Below are 19,922 nucleotides of genomic sequence, written 5' to 3' on the forward strand. Positions count from 1 at the left end.
TTTCATGCCACAATGGTAAAGTTCAGTAGTTGACCTATAGATCTTATTCTCTATATTTGTCCATTTACAAAAAAGGTTTGCCAACCTAGAGGAGACTTCTTCAATTTTTCAATAGAGTTGGTAAATTTTCCCATAAAGTCTCACCAAGGATCTAAAAAATGTCTAGCCATCTTAGAGTTTTCCTCTGTGACATGGCAGAAAAGATAAACGTTTTGGGGGTCAGAAGATCTAAGTTCAAATGTCAGTTTCATCACTTACTGTTTTTATGATTATGACAAGTTTTAGGACTTCTCTCAGCTTCTCCTATATAATAGGTCTCAAAATGCTTGTTTCAAAACTCGTTGTGAAGACCAAGGCCCTGACAAAGCCTGGGTGCTGAATATGAATTATTTCATCAGCCCTCCCATGTCACCATCCTTATCCTGTCACGATTTTCTTCCTGGCCCACTTGAGGTGAAATTTTGGTAGACATTTGTTGCTGATTGTGTTATGTAATTCTTTAGTGAGGAAGCTAGAATAAATTCATTTGAAAGGGAATTTGCTCACATTTGTTCTGGGGAGATCCCAGTGATTTAGGCAGACTGCTAATGCCTTTTACAAAGGATCCACCTCAGTCATCATGTACTAGATGTTGTCATAATTTCTTTTACAAAAGAACAAATCAACCTTGTTCCTCTCCATCCGGGGAAGGGAAGGGAAGGGAAGGGAAGGGAAGGGAAGGGAAGGGAAGGGAAGGGAAGGGAAGGACAGGGGAGGGGAGGGGAGGGGAGGGGACGGGAGGGGAGGGGAGGGGAGGGGAGGGGACGGGAGGGGAGGGGGGGGAGGAAGGAGAAGAGATAGAAAGAAAGAGAGAAGGAAGGAAGGGAAAGAAAGAGAGACAGAGAAAGGGAAAGAGAGACAGAGAAAGAAGAGAGTGGAAGCCTCTGTATTAATCTGCTGATTGAAAAGAAGTATCAACACTGTTTTGACCAAATTTGTCACCTTTTTTGGTAGGCATTTGAGTAGAAATCAGAGCAATGAATGTCTCTTAGATATCTGCATAATAATCCCAACCTAATGAATTTATTTCAGAAATTTTATATTTTGTAAATAGCTGAGAATATTCTAGAAACAGCCACAAAACTGTTCACTTTGTCCTGTATCATGGCCTTGAAGCATGTGCTGCAAGTGCTTCCGTTTTCTTTTTGCAGAGGAAAAGGAGGAGCCAAAGCCTTATATGAATAAGTGAGGGAGCTTGTAAATTCATATAAGGGTGAAAGCTTGGGGAATAACGCCATCCTTATGTGGATAGTCCTGACACACTATGGGACCTAAGACAACCTGCTTATTCTCATTGAGTTTTGTCCTTTACTTTCTATTAGATTATCTCATTGACATTTTATACCACTTTCAGACATTTCTATACTGCTATAGAATAAATCAGTTTTTGACCGAGCACAGTGGCTCACGCCTGTAATCCCAGCACTTTCGGAGGCCGAGGCGGGCAGATCACGAGGTCAGGAGATCGAGACCATACTGACTAACACGATGAAACCCCATCTCTACTAAAACTACAGAAAATTAGCCGGGTGTGGTGGCAGGTGCCTGTAGTCCCAGCTACCCTGGAGGCTGAGGCAGGAGAATGGCGTGAACCTGCGAGGCAGAGCTTGCAGTGAGCTGAGATTGTGCCACTGCACTCCAGCCTGGGTGACAGTGAGATTCGGTCTCAAAAATAAATTAAAATAAAATAATCATTTTTGTTGTTGTTGTTGTTGTTGTTGTTGTTGTTGTTTTGACAAAGTCTTGCTGTGCTGCCCAACCTGGAGTGCAGTTGCACAATCTCGGCTCACTGTAACCTCTACCTCCCAGGTTTAAGTGGGATAAATCATTTTTTAAATGTAAAATGTGTAGCCAGTCCACAATTGATGAGAGGGTCTAATTTATTTTGTGTTAAAGTTGGTTGTTAGGAATTCAAAATTTATTTTCCCATGATAAAATATTATAGAGCATGGATATATTATTAACTTAAACTGCCATCTTTTATTTCTGTAGGGGATACACAGGAATATTAACATTTATTTAAAACTGTTTTCTCATATATAAGGCTATATTTCGCTATAGGATACATCTAAGTTGCCCAGTTTCCATACTGTGTGTCCTCAGCATAATTCCTGGTCCTTATAACAGGTGAGCAGAGGGAGCAAGGGCAGTGGAGGTCACAGGGCAGCTGTGGTGGAAGTGGGGAGAGGAGGAGAGAAAGAGTCCTTGGCAACCACTGCTCAGGTGGGAGGGCTCAGATCCCATGTCTCAGGCATCTTTTTCTCTATGGGTGATGGAAGAGAGATTCTGAGCATCCTGAGTAAGAGTAGGAGGCATCCAGCAAGCTCTGACAATCCCTGTTGAGGTGAGGCTATGGGAGGGGAAGTGTGTGTCTGAAAGGAAGGTTGGTTAATTGTTTACTGAGCATCACGAGTCCTCTAATGATGTCTAAGTTCTGTGTCCTGTTAATTGTTTTATCTTCAGCTCCTAGCACAATGCCAAGAAAATAGTAAGCTTTTAGTAAATGTTAAATTGTCTTGTGAGATTACCCTTGGAAGGTAAAAACAAATCACTTTGGATAGGGTCTGGCTAAAATAATCCCACCCAAATTTATATTTTCCTTTCTCGAGGGCTGGAACCTTACAAATATTTACAGACCTTTACATACTGTGGTATACAAACAGCAGGAGTTGGAAGCATTGATGGAACAGAGCTGTGTTAGAACAGTTCGCTGATAATAGACTAGAATAGAAACTCCGCTGTCCCAAACACTCTGCTTATTAAAAACCACCATCCAAAAAGTAGTGGAGAAGAGAAGAGCACACATTCTAGAATCCAAACAAACTGGACTTGAATTATGGCCCTGTGTGACATGGCCAAGTTACTGTTTTCTCCAAGCCTCCATTTATTTATGTGTAAAAATGGAAATACTTTTAGAAAGAGATTTAGTGCCACATTGGGTTGTGGTGAAGATTAAATGAGATAGAGGATGTAAAGTGCCTAATGCACAGTGAGAACTGAATAAACGCTTATTTCCAATATTTCTCACTTTTGGAAAATGTTACCTGAAGGCAAAATGAAAGCATTTCCTCCAGACCCTGAGACCAGGAGAGACCTGAGCAGGGAATCCATTTCAAAGCTCTTCTACCGTGTCTGAATGCCTCTGAAAGCTGATCAGAGTTATTACAGCTAATCAGGACAAGGGAGAGAGAGGCAGGAGAAGTGACAATCACGTGTCCCCCTGTGGGTCTGTGTCGCCCACCACGACTTTCACAGCCATTGTGTTTGTGCTCCAGGCTGCTCTATTATTAGTTTCTGCGGCTGTTTCTGCTCCAGCTGTGTGTCCACTGGGGTCCGTTGCAGAATACCAGCCTGTCCTCACATGGTACGAAAGCAGTGCAGCAGTCTGTTGCAAAATATTCCCAGAACCTGAGGCTCCAGAGAGCCTCGACCCTCAGCAGTCTCGCTGTTTGGAAGACATTGTTCTGGAAGCTTCCATGGTCTTCGTTATTTTCTGCCTCTTATCAGTTGTACTTGCAGCTTGTCGCCCTGAACTAACTAGCCCCACAGCCAGACCTTTGACAAAACATTCTGGCTTTTGATGATATTATCTCTTTCTTCGGCAGAGAGAACTCAGAGCCAAGTATCTTTGACTTTGAGAGATTATGGTTTCATTCATCCTGGAAATACATACACAGGTTATCTTTTATCCCCTGCCTTCAAGCCATGGTCCTGAAGTTAATATGTCATTACCTCACCTGTCGCCTGTGGCACAGTCTTTTTATCAACTATGCAGTGTACGATGTCATGATATGAAACTGCCCTGTGCTTACTTCTGATTTCTCTTCCCACATCTGAATTTCCTTTTCGCTAATCCACATCTCATGCAGTTTTGTCTGTAGTTTACCATCTTCACCCCCCAACTTCCTTCTTTGGGAAATAGTTTGCGAACATCTGATTGTGGCGTGTAGAGGAGACTTGATGCTTTCAGGCTTCTTGCTATTCTAGAATATTTCATGTTCATACCATATAATCCCGGCCTGGATGGAGTGTGCATCCCTGTGGTTCTTAAATCACCAATGTGCTTGTGAGTTCCTCCTCCCCATTCCTATCCTACAGTCACCTGAAAGAATTAGACAAAACGCAGCTAATTAACAAATATTAGCTGACAATGTTCTGGTTGCTGGGAGTCAGTTGAACTGTGAGGAAACCAGAATAGAAGGAAAAGATAAGGATGACAATTCTGTCATCTCTATCAGACTAGGGCAAGGTGGAGGAGAAAATATTCAAAGCAAATATGGGTACTGTTATGTGCCAGGAACTGTCCTAAACTCCCTGGTGCATATGAACAGCTAATTCTTGCACTAACCATTGAAGTAGGCACATGAATGAGAGCACTGTAGCATTTTTTTCACGAAGAGGATATACTTTGGAGACCAATTGCCTGGATTCTAATACTGGCTTCTCTCCTAACTGTGAGGCCCTGAGAAAGTTACTTAACCCTTCTGTGTCTAAGACTCCTCATTTACAAAATGAAGCAAATTATACCTACTTTGTATGTTTTCCTAAGAATTAAATGAGTTAATACATATGAACTATGTAGAGCAGATCCCAAGACATAATAAGCATTCATTAAGAATTAGCTATTAAACTAGTTATGCATTAATAACTGTATTCACACTCGCACAGCCTGGCCATGGCTATGGTATATTTCCGCAAGGACATGCAGCTGGACTGTAGAACATCATAGTCCTAAATCTATGTATGCCTGCAGGTCACTGCCAGTTGCTTTCCTAGTGACTTCAAAAGAACAGGTCACACTCCCACTTCTTGCCTTCATGCCTCAGTAACATCAATAGCATCTCACACTCTGTTCAGTGGCAAAGGTTAGCACTTGTTTCAAGAGCATTTTGGCCTTTTGCGTATTATTACTTTAAAGTCTTAAATCCCATCTGCTACTAGTAGCAAATATAGAGCTAATTAAATGTAATTTTTCTGGAAAAAATCCTGTTTGGTCTTTTCAGAGTGGGACAGATTGTATTTTATAAGTCCTTGCTGATAATTTCCCACTCCCCATTTATAACTTTCAATAATTTATTAGCATAAGAAAAATACCCATGAAAGATCTCCTGGACAGATAAACACACCGTGAAATAAAGTACATTTTCCTATTAGGACAATTATCTATCCTAGTGCTCACTGGGCAACAAACTTTAGAGGAAGTAAAAGAATGAGCCCATCTCTGAATTCCTTGGCTCCTTGAATCATTAACAAACAAGTCGGTCATTACTTAATACATAATTGTTTGTGTTAAGATATCTTGTTCTTAATTGTAAGCTCATTGAAGTTACAGACCAAGCCATATATAGTTTCTCTTATCATGTCTGTCAAGCCCTGGGGTAATCCTTTATCTGAAAAGCATGTTATTTCCTCTTTAACTGCTTTAATCTCATAAAGCAGTTAATTAGAATTGTTCTGAAGACCCATATATTTGAACTGGCTCTACTAGGATGGCTAAGTGCCACCTCTTCATTCTTATTATACATGTTCCAGTTATATCAGCCTCCTCTCACTATCTTGAAAGCACTGGGAGTCCTTCTACCACAGGTTCTTGGAATGTGCTATTCCGTCTGTCTCAATACTCTTACTTTATGCTTGCTCCTCTCATTTTCACCATCTCACCACTTAGTGCCTATGCATCCCTTCGATACTTCCTTGATCCATTTGACCATGGCCTTTCACCCTCCTCTTCTCCACCTCATATAAGTCACAGTTCTTTGATACACACAATCACAGAATTGTCTTCAGTTCATTGAAGGTACTTCTCAGCGTTTGTAATTAAACTTTTATTAATGCAATTATTTGATCAATGACATTCTCCTGAGTAAGGAAGAAACTCCATAAGAAGAGAAACTGTTTTTGCTCATGATTGCATCCTCAGCATTGGCACACAGGAGGGCTGCAATACTGAATTAATTCTGAGTTAATTCTCAACAAACATTAGTTTTTTAGTGATTAAGAGCTTTTTATTACATTTGGGAACTCAATAAAGTCTTCTAGAATAAGAATTGAAGGTATAGTTTTACAATGGGGTATAAGTCTTCTAGAATAAGAACTGAATGTATAGTTTTACAATGGGGTATTTTCAGTTTGAAATGTTCTACATATGGATATGTCTGCTATGTAGCAGAGAGGCAAATAAAGAATAAGGGTCAGGTTGGAGGTTTCTCCCTGGTAGGTTATTCTGGTCCAGTGTACACATGAGCAGAAATATCAGGACTACTTGGTCTGGATAACAAACTATGACTAGTATTTTGGAGTACCCAGGGATTGATCAGAGAAGAAATCCAGATGGTAGGAAAAATATCTGGAACTCATTTACTTATTGTCAAAGTATTACGTGCTAGTCACCATACTAAGGACTGGAGATCAATAGACAAATGAATCTGTTCCTTAGTGTCCACAGGGTGGGAAGGTACAATGGGAAGGTGAATATTTGTGTCTTTTCAAAATTCGTATGTTGAAATCCTAACCACCAAGACGGTATTTGGAGGTTGGGATTTTTGAGAAATCATTTGCCCTTAAGGGTAGAACCCTCATGAATGAGATAAGTGGCCCTAGAAAAGGGACGACAGGGAGCTATTTTGCCCTCTTTCCACCAAGAGAGGATGCAGCAAGAAGGTCATAGTCTGCAAGGTGGAAGCGGGCTCTCACCAGAACTCAACCGTGCTGGCATCCACATCTCAGACTTTCAGCCTCCAAAAGTGTAAGAAATAAATTTCTATTATTTGTAAGCTACCCAGTCTATGATACTTTGTTACAGCAGCCCAAACTGACTAAGACAGGGCGAAGAGAGAAAATAATTAATTAGAATGCATTGTAGAAAATTGTGTGATGGAAATGCTATAGGAAAACAAAAGTTTCATGCCTGTGAGCTTTATAGAAGCCTTCTTTACGGAGATGACCCTGAGCTGATCCATGAGGCATGAGCAGGATTTAGGATCCAGGTGGTGGGCAGAGAGGGAGGACATTCCAAGTAATGAGCTGGGATGTGAGGTCAAAGATTGAAAGTGCCCAGTGTATTTGAGGAACTGGAAACCTCTTCTGGATGACAAAACTGCAGAGGGCAAAAAGCAAGGGGGAGAGGGCAGAGAGTATTAATAAGCAATAAGGCTTCAGTGAAGGACATGAAATTGATTGGGTAGGATTTAAGAAGCCATCGGAGGATGATCAATAGGTCTATCTGTGATCTAAGCTATGCTTAAAAAGTGGCTTTGTCAATAGAGTAGGTAATGGATAAACAAGGAGCTGAACTGACTTCACAAAGATTGTTTAAAAGTGGCACATGGTGAGTTATGAAAGTGGCACATGGTCATGGTAGGACCTAGGGAAGTGCATTTTAATTTCAGGAGAGGAGATGGACTTTAGGTGTATTGAAGAGGTAAAGTCAATAGTGTTTGGCCGTGCTAAATGTAGGAGGTAAAGAAGGAGGAGGGTTCTGAATTGGGCAGTTGGGTAGATAGTAGTACCATTTACAAAGAGAGCAAGCAGAAGAAGAAAAGCAGATTTTGTTGTTTGGAAATAGATAAATTTATTTTTAAATATGCTGAGGATTAATGAGGCTGTTTGCTGGCCCCAAACACCCATTTCCTTCCAAAATAAATACCATGTTTTAGCTAGGCATGTCTCTGCTTGCTTGCAGCTGGATGTGAACATATAATTAGGTTCTGGCCAGTGGGATGCAAGCACAGCTGTTGGGTACTCCTCCCGCAGGTGTTCTTCTCCCTGTTTCTCATTTCCTGAGTCTCACGCCTGGGAATATAGATAGGTTGGATAGACCTGTAATAGCCATCTTAGACCATGAGGTAGATGCTGCATATTGAGGATGGTGAAGCAATGAGATAAAGTATCTTGAGACTCCTTTTCAGCCTTGGCATGCCCATGCGAAAAAAAATAAATAAACATTGATTTTATTTAAGCCTCTGAGAGTAAATTCAGTCATTTATAGTTGAACTTAATCCTGACTAATACTTTGGGTTTGAGATGCCCAAGTCTGGACTTGAAGATGTCCAGAAGGCAGGTAGACATAGAAATCTGGAGCTCATAACAAAGATCTATGCTATTAATGAAAGTTTATACTCCTCATCATACTACCATCCAAGAGGTGAGGACTTTCAAGGAGAGTGTGTAGTGTGAGAAGAGTGCTAAGGATGGAACCCTGGGGACCACAAGAATTAAATCAATGAAAATAGGAAGAAGAACCTGTAAAGACAATTGAAAAAGAAATACCAAAGAGTTGGTGGGAAAACTAATTTAGAATTAAGAGAGTGACCTGGTTTGGCTGTGCCCCCACCCAAATGTCATTTTGAATTGTAGCTCCCACAATTCCCATGTGTCATGGGAGGTAATTGAACCAAGGAGGTAGGTCTTTCCTGTGCTGTTCTTGTGATAGTGAATAAGTCTTATGAGATCTGATGATTTTATAAGGAGGAGCTTCCCTGCACAATCTCTCTCTCTCTCTCTCTCTCTCTCTTGCCTGCAGGTATGTAAGATGTTCCTTTTGCCTTCTGCCATGATTGTGAAACTTCCCTATAGAAACTGGTGAAGTAAACCAAGGACTTAAAAGTCCCAAGCAGTATAATATACTACCTCTAGATTCCAAGTTTTGGAATCTGAGAGATGTGGATGCATCCTGATCTGTTTTATACTTAATATCTGTGTAATCTTTGGAAAATTAACCTCCCAGAACACTCTGTTTCTGAATTCGTGTAATAGGGATTAAAATATCTTCTTGGTATTGCTGTTGTAAGATTTACAGGAGAAAATGTGTGTAAGGTGCTTCGTATTACACTTGGTACATAGTATGCATTAGTAAATGATGCGCATTATTGTTCTAGAAGCCAAAATACTGTCATGTGAGGCTCTAAAACTTTTTGACATTAAAAAGTTTATATCCCAAAGGAGATATCTTCAGTGATCTCTAGAACTTTTCTCTGCACAGTGCAATCAATCCTCATGTATCCTTTTTCTGTACCTGCAGGGTAAAGCTAATGTGTTTAACTCATCTGTGCTAATGATTTAATTTGTTTTCCCTCCCTAGTAACCTTTGCATTGTAACAGGGAGACTCTCAGTGCCTTAATAAAAATAAGTGACTAATGTAAGCATTGCAGGCACCTGACAGGGCCAGAACCAGGTGCCTCTGGGCAGGGGCCCCTCTCTCAGGGACTTTTACATCACTTCATACAGAAAGCCATTTAACCTGCCTATGGGTAAGGTTGACCTTGTTCTATGGAAGAATAAATCTGTGCAAATCAAGGCCAGCTCCTGTTGTTTTCATGCTTTACTCCCTGCCTTTTGGGTGGAGACACACAGTAGGCTCTATATAACTGTTTGTAAGATGTACAGATAGAAGATGAGGGAGTGGGGAGGGGCAATTGAGAGGCTTATTTCAAGAGGTCAAGAAAATGTCTGAGAAATGGCCATTCAAGTTCAAAGATGGAGCACGTAGCTAATTTAACACAATTTCCTTTCATCTTCTTTCATTTTGTCATTGTCCTACTGCATTTTAATTGACATTTGCTTTTTCTTAGTCTCTGACAAAGAACACAATAACTCCAACTAACCTCATCAGTCCAGAATAAAAAATAAGACAGCTTATCAATTAATATTGTGAATTAATATAGTGCCTGCTAGTGTTCTGATAGAATACCTGACCATGAAGTTAAAAATACTGTACAGCAGTATAAAATGAATTTATGTAAGTTTTAAAAAGCCCTCAGATATCATCTAATTAAAATGTATTTCTATATTTTAAAAAACTCTGAGAATCTGAAAATTTTACTTAACCAGCAAAACTCAAAGACACACAAAATTCTACGTATAATTTTCAGGTGGTCATGGATTATTTGAATTTTGTTAATAAACCTCTGAGAGGACCACAGAGTCTGGTTTAATAACATTTAATCAAACTCAACCCCTTTATTTTATGGAAAAAGAACTGGAACCTAGAGAAGTTAAAGTCAGAAATCCAAAGTCACATAAGACACGGAAGTTCTGGACTAGAATCCATGGCTCAAGACTTCCCTTCTATTATCTCAAGTTCTTGGTAAATCCTAGTGAAGCTTACCATCTTATTAAACTAAAAGCAGTTTCTATTTAGTAAAATTCTGTGAGAGATGATAACATACCATAGCTCCTAATCACTCAGGTAGGGATTGTAGAAAACAAACAATTCAGTTTCTGTTGTTTTCAAATTATTCTCCCCATTTTTGAAGAGTACTGCATTTCTTCACCTCAAAGCATGCATTAAAATTTAATTTGTCATCATTCTGCCCTCAAACAGGGTTCCAGTTCACCTTCCAATCACCATTAGACGAAGTTACTCATTTTTCCAAAAGCAGAGAACAAGATTGCAGAAGACAACTTGACGTTCCATTTTAGGAACCAATAACCCTCATATTTGGAAATTTCATTACTACACTTTCAGAGGTATGTTTTACATTCAGAGTCGGAAACCCCAACATGCTATGCAGTTTGAACTTAGCAGGTTCTTCTCAAGCTTGTCTTGCATGTTCTAAGCTTAGAAAAATATTTTACTTTTACTGTTTCCCAAATTATATTGACTGGGAAAAGTTACATGTCATTTTATAAGTTCTTAAAAGATGTTATTACTTTTTACTCAGTCATTTACTTTGTATTCACTATATTTGCAACACTGGAAAAATGTGGCACCCTGGAAAAATGTTTTGCAAACGTGTCATGATGTGTGAGATATAAGTTTTGCTCTTCAATTCTGTGTAGTTGTTTTTGATGTGCTTAAACTAGTTCATTTATTCTATTTAATAGACATTTTTCTTCCCTATGACAATTGTAGGTTTAGTTTTTTTCTTGCTTTGTAGAGAATATTGACCTGAGGTTTCGCACTTAGGAAATACGTATTGTGTGTGCCTACTATGTGCATAGTCCCGTGCTGCACCAAGAACAAATCCTTGTTTCTGCACCTACTGCAATGATGAATGTATGTCATTCAAGTGCACATTGGCTTTCAAAATACTACAAACATAAATATGCAAAAATCTGTGATAGTATATTTCAACTCAATAATGGCTTCTACGAAGCAAAAAATATAAATCTGTCTCACCATGGCAGGAGATAACCTATTTTCTTCCTGTTGACCCATGATTATCTCTAGAAGCTAGAGACCCATGGACCCTTCTCTCCACCACACACACACACACACACACACACACACACACACTCTCTCTCTCTCTCTGTCTCTCTCATACACACACACACACACACACACACACACACACACACACACAGTGGCTGCTAACTTGTCAGTTCCATGGCATAGGAAACAACGTCACCCTGGAGAGCAGATTGCTTAAAGGAAAGCAAGATGAGACACTGGGAATCATGCAAAGATCCCCTATCAGCCATGGGTCTGGCTGACCAGTGGCTATGGAGGTGGCCATGTTGGGAGTGGAGGCTAAACACCAGTCTTCTACTGTAGGCTGTGGGGAGCATGAATGGTGAGGAAAATGCACAAGAAGGTCTAGTTTGTATTGTGCTGATGATGTACCAGGCATAAATAAATTCAGAGTTTGTATGGCCTGAAGCTTATATGATTACAGGGTCTATTTAAGGAAAAGAATACAAAACTGCTAATACAAAATTAAGTACAAAAGTGAATATTTATTTAGATGAGAAAGGAAATTACAACAAATTATAAACATATAAAAGCAAGTACCACAAATATAAAAATCCAGAAAAATAACGTAGTAACTTATTTTTCATGAATTTATTTAATTTCCAGCCTGTGTAGGGAAAACTCTTTCTAACCACATTTTTCCTCTAGTCTCACACCACGACAATCAACATAGAAGACTTCTGTGACCAAATATATGGGTTTCCCCCCACAAATAGCAAGCAGTAGATACCAGCTGGGTGTCCTCTAATTCAGTCTCACACTCTCTACCCAGAGGTAGTGTTAGATCCCACAGGTTGAGGGCTCAGTCCCCTCCTATACACACACCAGCTGCAAGTCCAGGCCTCCAGAGCTTCTGACTGACCAGCTACAAGTTGGGGTTCCTATGATCCCCTCTTTGGGTTTGATTAATTTGCTGGAGTGGCTCATGAAACTCAGGGAAACACTTACCTTTACCAGTTTATTATAAAGGTTATTGCAAAGGATACAGATGAAGAGCTGCATAGAGTGAGATACCAGGGAAGGGGGTGGAGTTTCCATGCCCTCCCAGGGCCTGCCACCTTCCAGCAAATTCCAGGTGTTCAGCCATCAGGAAGCTCCCTGAACCTTGTCCTCTTGGGTTTTTATGGAAGCTTCATGATGTCAGCATTCCTTTCCCCAGGGTACAGGGTAGGTCCCTCTCATAGGAGGGTCTTAAGGCCCACAGTCAGAAAGACAGAAGAACATTAAAGTGAAAGGAGAGCAGAAGAAGCTCAGAGGCCTGCCCCTGAGGCCTAGCACACCCAATAGTCTAACAAAAGACTAAGGGCTATGGAAGTTATAAGCCAGGAACCATGGAGGAAAACCAGTATATATATCACAGCACCACATATCCACACCTTATTTTTGTTGGCAGCATACTTTCCCATCACCTCTGCCTTTGAATGATTTGTCAGTTGTCAGTATCAATTTCCATACATTGTTCAGTAGAGTTTCACAAAAGAAATATAATTCAGTATTTCCTCAGTATTTTTTTCATTAAAATTTGTTTCTCATTAATAGTTTAGATTTTTTCCCCTCATTTTCACAACTCGTTATGAATTTAGGATTGTTGCCAAACTTGGGAAAGCCTCTATCACATTTCCTTTATAAATAAACTGTTATATATAGACTCAGTTTGTAGTGCTACTATCAGTTTGTACAGCCACAGGAATCCTGACAAATTCCATTCACACCAATTCCCATCAAAAAAAAAAAAAAAAGAAAGAAAAGAAAAAGTCAGAGGTGTTTATAGTTATGTGTTCTTTCCATTTTCTAGTGTATTTCTGATAGAAGAGAACTTCTGTTTTGACTAGGTATCCATGGGAATTAAATCTTCCCATCACAATTTTATACGCTGATGATTAGAAGAACTTTCCAGAAAAGATTTTGGCCTCATAAATTTCAGGCTTTGTTTCTCCTTTATTATCTGGTGCTAGAACCTGTAAGATACCAGGAGCTCTGGGCCTGCACCTTGGTGTCATGACCCCAGCTGAAGTGGCATCATGGAAGTTAGAAATGTTCCTGGAAGCCATTCCCAGACCGTGACAGGTAGCAAATGCTTAATTATACATGAAATGACTCTGAACCATATTAATAGACTTAACACACTTGAACCAAATATGTCTCCAACTTCTCTTAGATGTTCCAAAAAAAAAAAAAAAAGTGGACCCTCTGTCACAAGAGAAGTCCAATGTAAAAAGAGAGGGTGGAGTAAAAAGGGACAGTGATCTTAACTGAGGTGCGATTAAAACATCTGACTTTTGCACAATTTAAAAAGATATTACTGGGGCCCCTGCTCTGGCCCTGGAAAAGCCCAAGACTCAAGCCTCATCAGCTTCATAATTAAACTAGTTTTGATGTCAGAGGTTGTAATGTTTCAAATATTTTAGAATTCCAGTGTCCCAGGGCTCAGACATTCATCATTTAAAAAAAAATTTTTCATCCTATTTATTCCCTCCTTTGATGATCTCCACCAAAATTTCTGGCTTTAAATGTATTTAAGATGCATATATTTAGATAATGTCCAGATTATTTCTCAAATTCTTTCTCTATTCCCTGGAGCTCGAGAATTAGATATCTAAGTGCTGGTTCAATCTCTTCCCTTGGAGTCTAAGAGACCTCTCTAACTCAACATCACCACAACTGAACTCCAGATCTTTCTCCTGAAATCTTCTCTGCTTACAAGTTTCTCAGCTAGTGACAACTTTATCTTTTCCATTGTTCATACCAAAAATGTTAGAGTCATCCTGCCTATCAGGAAATCTTGTGGCTTTAATTTCAAAATAAATATGAAACTTGATCATATTTTACCCACACCACTGCTACCACCTCGAGTATAGACATCATTACCTCTCACTGGCATCTCAGCCAAAGTCTCCTAAAATGCCTGACTGCTCCCACCTTTGGTGCTTTGTGGTGGTTTTCAACACAGTAGATTTCGCACTGTAAATCAGGTCTTGTCACTCCTCTGTTTAAATCCATTTCACTGTAGAAGCCTGGGAGGGCATGGAAACTCCTCCCTCTTCCCTGGTACCTCATCCCATGTAGCCTAGAAGGTGCTAGTGACCTGGCCTCACACTGTCTGTCTGATGTCCTGTCACACCCACTCCCCTTCCCAGAGCTGCAGCCACACTGGCTTCCAGGATGCTTGTCCAACACACCAGGTAGGACCTCAGGGCCCTTATCCCAGGACTTACTGGGCTTACTCCGTTTCCTCCTTCAACTGACTTCCTCACGTCTCACCTTCTCAACAAGGAAGGCCAGCTACCTACTAAATGCTACACTATGCCACCCACCCGCTCAGCATTTGCCATTACTTTTACCCTTCCTTACTTTACTGCACTCCTATGGCACTAGTCACTTGCTCATATACTATGTGTTTATGTGTTTACTATGAGTCATTTGATTGTTCACTGTCTTATCCCTGTCCTAGAATGCAAACAACACAAGGACAGAGATCTTTGTGTTTTTCAATAGTGTACCCCATGAAACTAGAAATTAATCTAATTCTAAAATACATAACAAAACAACCTGAAATAAAGAAAAGTTAAGCAGCTTGAGAGGATCACAAAAGTAGTAGAGGTGGCATTTAAACCTAGATAGCCTCCAGAGCCTGCACCCTTAGCTTGTGTGCAATATCACCTCCTACTGTCTGGAGGGGAAAGGCAGCCAAGGGAGTGGAGAATGGATATGGCCCTGGAGGCCGAATCACCAGCTTCCCTGCATGGTCACTCTAGATTGCTAAACTCTGAGTTAAAGCCCAGTCAAACAGATAAATGTTTTGATATTAAATGTTTTTAAATAAGCCACTTTACATATATGGAGTATGCTTATACTTTATAATCATTTTCCCAAGGAAATAGTGATGTTCTCCTCCTTTGTGGGGTCATTTTGTATACAGTAGTCACCCCTTATCCATGGTTTTGCTTTCTGGGGTTTCAGTTACCAGCAGTCAACTGCTACCAACTGTCCACAAATATTAAATTGAAAATTCCAGAAATAACAGCTCATACGTTTTAAATTATGTGTTGTTCTGAGTAGCATGATAAAATCTCTCACTATCCTACTCTGTACTGCCAGGGACATGAATCATCCCTTTGTCTTGTGTGTCCGTGTTATCTACACTACCCACCCATTACTATATAGGAAAAAACATAGCATATATAGGATTCGGTAGTATCTATAGTTCCAAGCATCCACTGGGGGGCTTGGAACATATCTCTGAGGATAAGAGGGAGACTCTGTATTCCATTGGCCCCTTTGCATGGCTTAACTACCTTTACCACAATAAATATGATACACTGAGCTATCATTCTCTACTATTGAGAGACATGAAAATCACAACCATATTCTCAAACACATTATTAGAATAACATATGGTTTCGGAGGTCAAGGTGGTTTGCATAATGAAAGAATTACCTGAACTCAGGTGGGGAATGCTACTGCTGAGGGAGATATTTTCCATCATCTGGGCATTGGAAGCTATTAAATATTTGTATAATGTGGCTCTTATATGTTTATTTAAGAAGTAAATTAAAATGTATAAAGATTACAACAATTCTTTGCCATGCCTTCATCATTTTTCAGCTTAGAGGCAGGCAACTACATATTAATGGGGGAGAATTTTGCAGATGTGCAGTAGGGCTGAGATGAGCTATTTCTTGAGCCTATAGCTTGGACAACCTACCTATCACTACACATGTGCATGCACACACACACACACACACACACACACACACGTGCAAGAGTATATTTCTGACTCTTTCTAAAACCTTATATCTAATCTTCCTGCCTTCAGCTTTCCTTTACCCTGTCGCTCTAACACACTGCCCTACTATTATCTTTCAAGAGTCTGAACTGGAGCATGCCAATTCTCTACTTAAAATTTTCCATAACACCCCTTTACCTACTATGGATCATCTTTTTCTTTGGCAACCAAATTCAATCTGGGCAGACTTGCTCTTTGCTCTGTCCTCCTCTGTTACATTCTATTCCCTAATCACAGTGCATTCCTGAAACACTCCATGCTTTGCCACACTTCTGTGTTTGGGGTTCCTGCTGAAACTCCCTTTCTTGTCTGCTCTGGCCCAGTTACACCTGACTTTTACACTGAACCAGCTTCAGTGTTACTATTTCTGGGTAGACTCTCTGGCCAATCTCAGACCCCACCACTTCCTGAAAACATGCAAACACACACACCCTTTAGAAATAATAGTTTTCTGTACTTTCACAGGACTTTGTTCATACAGGTAGTAAAATGTTTATTACAAATGAACAATTAAGAGATTTGTGAGTGTATCTCCCTAGTGAATGCTAAAGTGTTTGAGTGCAGACTTCAGAATCTTTTCATTTTTTGTGTGTTGCACCAGCCAACTTCCTGACCCACAGAAGCCATTTGATTCATTTAATTGTATTGAATTGCATCAAATGGAATTGGGTCACTGTGATGTGCCAGGTGTGATGTGCTTGCCATGCCACTGCTCGGGTTAAAGGAGAGGTGGGCACTCAGTCATACTAACCTGATGGTATTTTGAACCCTGAATTCAGATCTATATGCTACCACTTTCCAAAGGACATTAAGAAGATAATAAGGTTAGAAAAGTTTCAAATTCCTAGGGACAAAAAAGATAGCTTCACTGTGAAAAAGAGAAGACATGTTAGATGGTTTGAAGAAGTTGGATGCAATGCTGAGATGGGAAAAGGCAGAGAGAAGATAGGGATATTACAAATACGTATAATATGGAAAACTAATTAAATTGGCCGCATATCTAAAGATTTGTGGAAGCAGCTCTCGTGTGGAAGCATGAGAAAGCAATATCCAACTAATTGGTATCTTACTGTAAAAAATAAGTTTTACCATAACAGTTGCCTACAAAATAACAGAATTTCTCACAAAACTCTAAGTGCCCCATCTCTTTATATGGTCAACTTGAACTTGATAAAACACCATTCAGGAGTTGCAGAAAAAATTACCATGCAAAGTGAATTGGATGACACTAAAATCTTCAAATAAAGAGTAATATACAAAAAAATGGCAAGAGTAGGGATTTTTAGTACCTTTAAAGTTGTTTTGTTCTGTATTGTAGTTTTGCTGCTTTTAAAGTAGAGCGGGAAGTCTGCAGAGTTCTGGAGTTTAGAGAACTCTTCTTCAGAGGCTTGCATTTTGGTAATTTCTCTATGTTCTGCCATGATTTGGAAAGTCTCCAAATGTCTCCAAGAACTGGAAAATCCCCTTTGGTATTTGTGGAGGTGAGTTAGCAGGTCTCTGTGTGTCTAGATTCCTCATAATAAAGATCCAAATCTGAAAGTTGGTTTGGACACAGAAAATGTGAATGGAAAGTTCTCTAGGGTCCGTCTATTCATTCACTCAGTTAGTTCAAGAAACATTTATGGAGCCCAGTTTCTGCCAAGCACTGGCTGAGCACTGGGGTACTAGGGTGTGTGCTGCAGACCCTGGCACCTTCCTGCCTGAGCATAATGGCCAGGGAGCAATTGTTCCACAGCGAAGTGTTTGCTCACCATAGCCATTCTGGAACTGCACGGCTAGTTCTTATGCTACAAGAAGAAAGGGTTTGTGTTTCATTCATTTTTGTATCACCTACATTGCTTTTAACCAACTGTCATTAGAATGATGGTGGCACTATTTACACATGGAGGTGTTTAATAAATAGCTGATGAAAGAAGGAAGGAGAGAGGGAGAAAACAAGGTCTCTTGGTTATTACCTAAACCTCTAATCTGAACTGTAAAAAAAAAAAAAAAAAATCACCATCTTCCTTACATGTTATATTCAAAAGTTTGTTACTGCAAATTCTGGGAACACTGAAACCAAAACCAGTAGTAAGAAAAAAGAAAGTAAATAACAACAAAACAAAATAACCCCAAATCCCTGGCAAACCGCCTAAGCATGATTAGGCCATTAGAGCAGAGCACTCCCTGATGACATAACCCCTCAACTTGTCTTCTCTACATAGACCTTTTCCTTAAATGACTTCAGAAACACAGTCTCTTGGGTTTTGCATACCTAGAAGGCTTTAGGGATTAGATGAAGGGAAGCAGAATACATTTAACAGGACCATAATTATCTCTCTTTCCTTTATTCCCCCCTCCCCCATTCCTGTGGGGCTCTGGAAATGTCATTGTCCTTATTTAATGCAATGCAGTGAGTGTGGGATAAAGTCCCACCTGTGCCATGAAAATCCCTTAGCAGCTTGCAGCATTGGAGGATAGAGGATGGAAGGAAAGACTAAAAGACGTCTGTGGTATTGAGACAACAACTGCAACAACAAAACCCATGAGACGCTTCCAACAAGCACAGAAGGAGCAGCAAGGTGGGACTGATTCAGAAGGATTAGAGAAAGGCAGGAGACCTGGTGCTTTGCTCTTCTCATTACAACCTGAATCACCGGGCACTTGGTAGAGAAAGCTCACCCCTCAGACATACGCATCCACTGCAGATGAGAAACTAGCATTTTCTTTACCCTTGTGTTTGTTTTTCTGTCAGCCAACAATAGGGGGAGAAAAGAAGATTATTGAGATTAGATGATTTTTTTCTTACATATTTATTATCCTGTTCTGTCCCAATCATCTCAATATTCAAAAAGTAGACTTGGAGGCTAGCATAAAGAAAAGAACAGCCAAGCTTCTGAGGGCTGTTGAATTTTTAATCCTCTAACATTTTTCTCCCCCTTCTCTATTTGTTGTCTATTTTCAAAGCCCTAAAGTAAAGAGATTGTCTAAACCCCATTCTTTGGCAGCCATTCAAAAAGCTACGTCTTGTAACATGACTGGGGAAAACCAGGAGTTAATTTTTAGACAAAAATTTAGGAGTCAGTAATGATGTTTTTAAAAACCTCAATGTTTAGCATTGAGGTGAGATATTTAAGTAATAAAACTGATGGCTCAGTGATCAGAGCATCAACAGCTCTCTGCCGGCAAATCCTGGTGCTCTTTATTGCTGTGGTCCTGTTCCAGCCCCATAGCAGGAGATTGCTAATGATCTGGGCTTGGGATATACACCTGTGTCCCTCCAGGGTCGTGGTTCTCTTCTTTTAATCTGTTTCCTTCCCCAGCCTCAGAGTCTTCACCTGTGCTTTAGTGTGACAGGATTTGCTGCTTTCCCTCAACTTGCTTAAGGCTCTTGCCCTCTGTAGGGGAGAAGGCTTTAGGAGGGGGTCTGTGTCGTGCCAGCAAAGACTGCCCCTGTGCCATGACAGCTCCATCAGGAAGCCTCCTCTCTTCTCATCTGCTGCTCCCAATCTTTCTCCTGAGCACCAGAAATTACCTTGAGAAGAAGCCTGAAAAGTAAGTGCAAATTCTTCTTGAGTCAATTGCTATTAGGGCTCTATATTCTCGCACTAGCCTACTTTTAGCCTTCAGCAATTTGTTTAAAATTGTGACCTATTTCTCCTTACCAGGGTGCATGGTGTCCAGAAGCATCTCCTCCAGGTAAGCATGTGTTTGCATCCTACATCTTCATGGAGGCTGCTGTCTTGTCTTATATTTTGGGGTAGTTGGTTGCTCTGCAATCTCAGCTCTCTGATGGAATCAAGACAATTGCCAATTTGCAGATGGTCTGGTGTTTTGTTTTGTTTTTAGTTGGTAGTAAATGGGTTCATCAATCTTTTTCGCTTTCTACATTGTAAGTAGAAGACAGAAGTCAACTGATGTGTTTA

General features: G+C 40.1%; 1 long non-coding RNA gene across 3 annotated transcripts in view; it reads left to right on the top strand.

The window, feature by feature from the left end:
- LOC105372121 (uncharacterized) overlaps positions 1–19,695 on the top strand; it is a 175,442-nt gene extending 155,747 nt beyond the window's left edge. For 2 of the 3 annotated variants that reach the window (XR_001753539.1, XR_001753538.1), the window contains 3 exons: positions 10,362–10,507; positions 19,401–19,551; positions 19,665–19,695. This is a non-coding gene — a long non-coding RNA (uncharacterized LOC105372121). Of the gene's footprint in view, positions 1–10,361; positions 10,508–13,186; positions 13,260–19,400; positions 19,552–19,664 lie in introns of those variants that run through there. The other variant, XR_935473.1, reaches the window with a different exon arrangement.
- The last annotated feature ends 227 nt before the right edge of the window (positions 19,696–19,922 follow it).

This window comes from Homo sapiens, chromosome 18 (genome assembly GCF_000001405.40).
Source record: "Homo sapiens chromosome 18, GRCh38.p14 Primary Assembly".
NCBI lineage: Eukaryota > Metazoa > Chordata > Mammalia > Primates > Hominidae > Homo > Homo sapiens.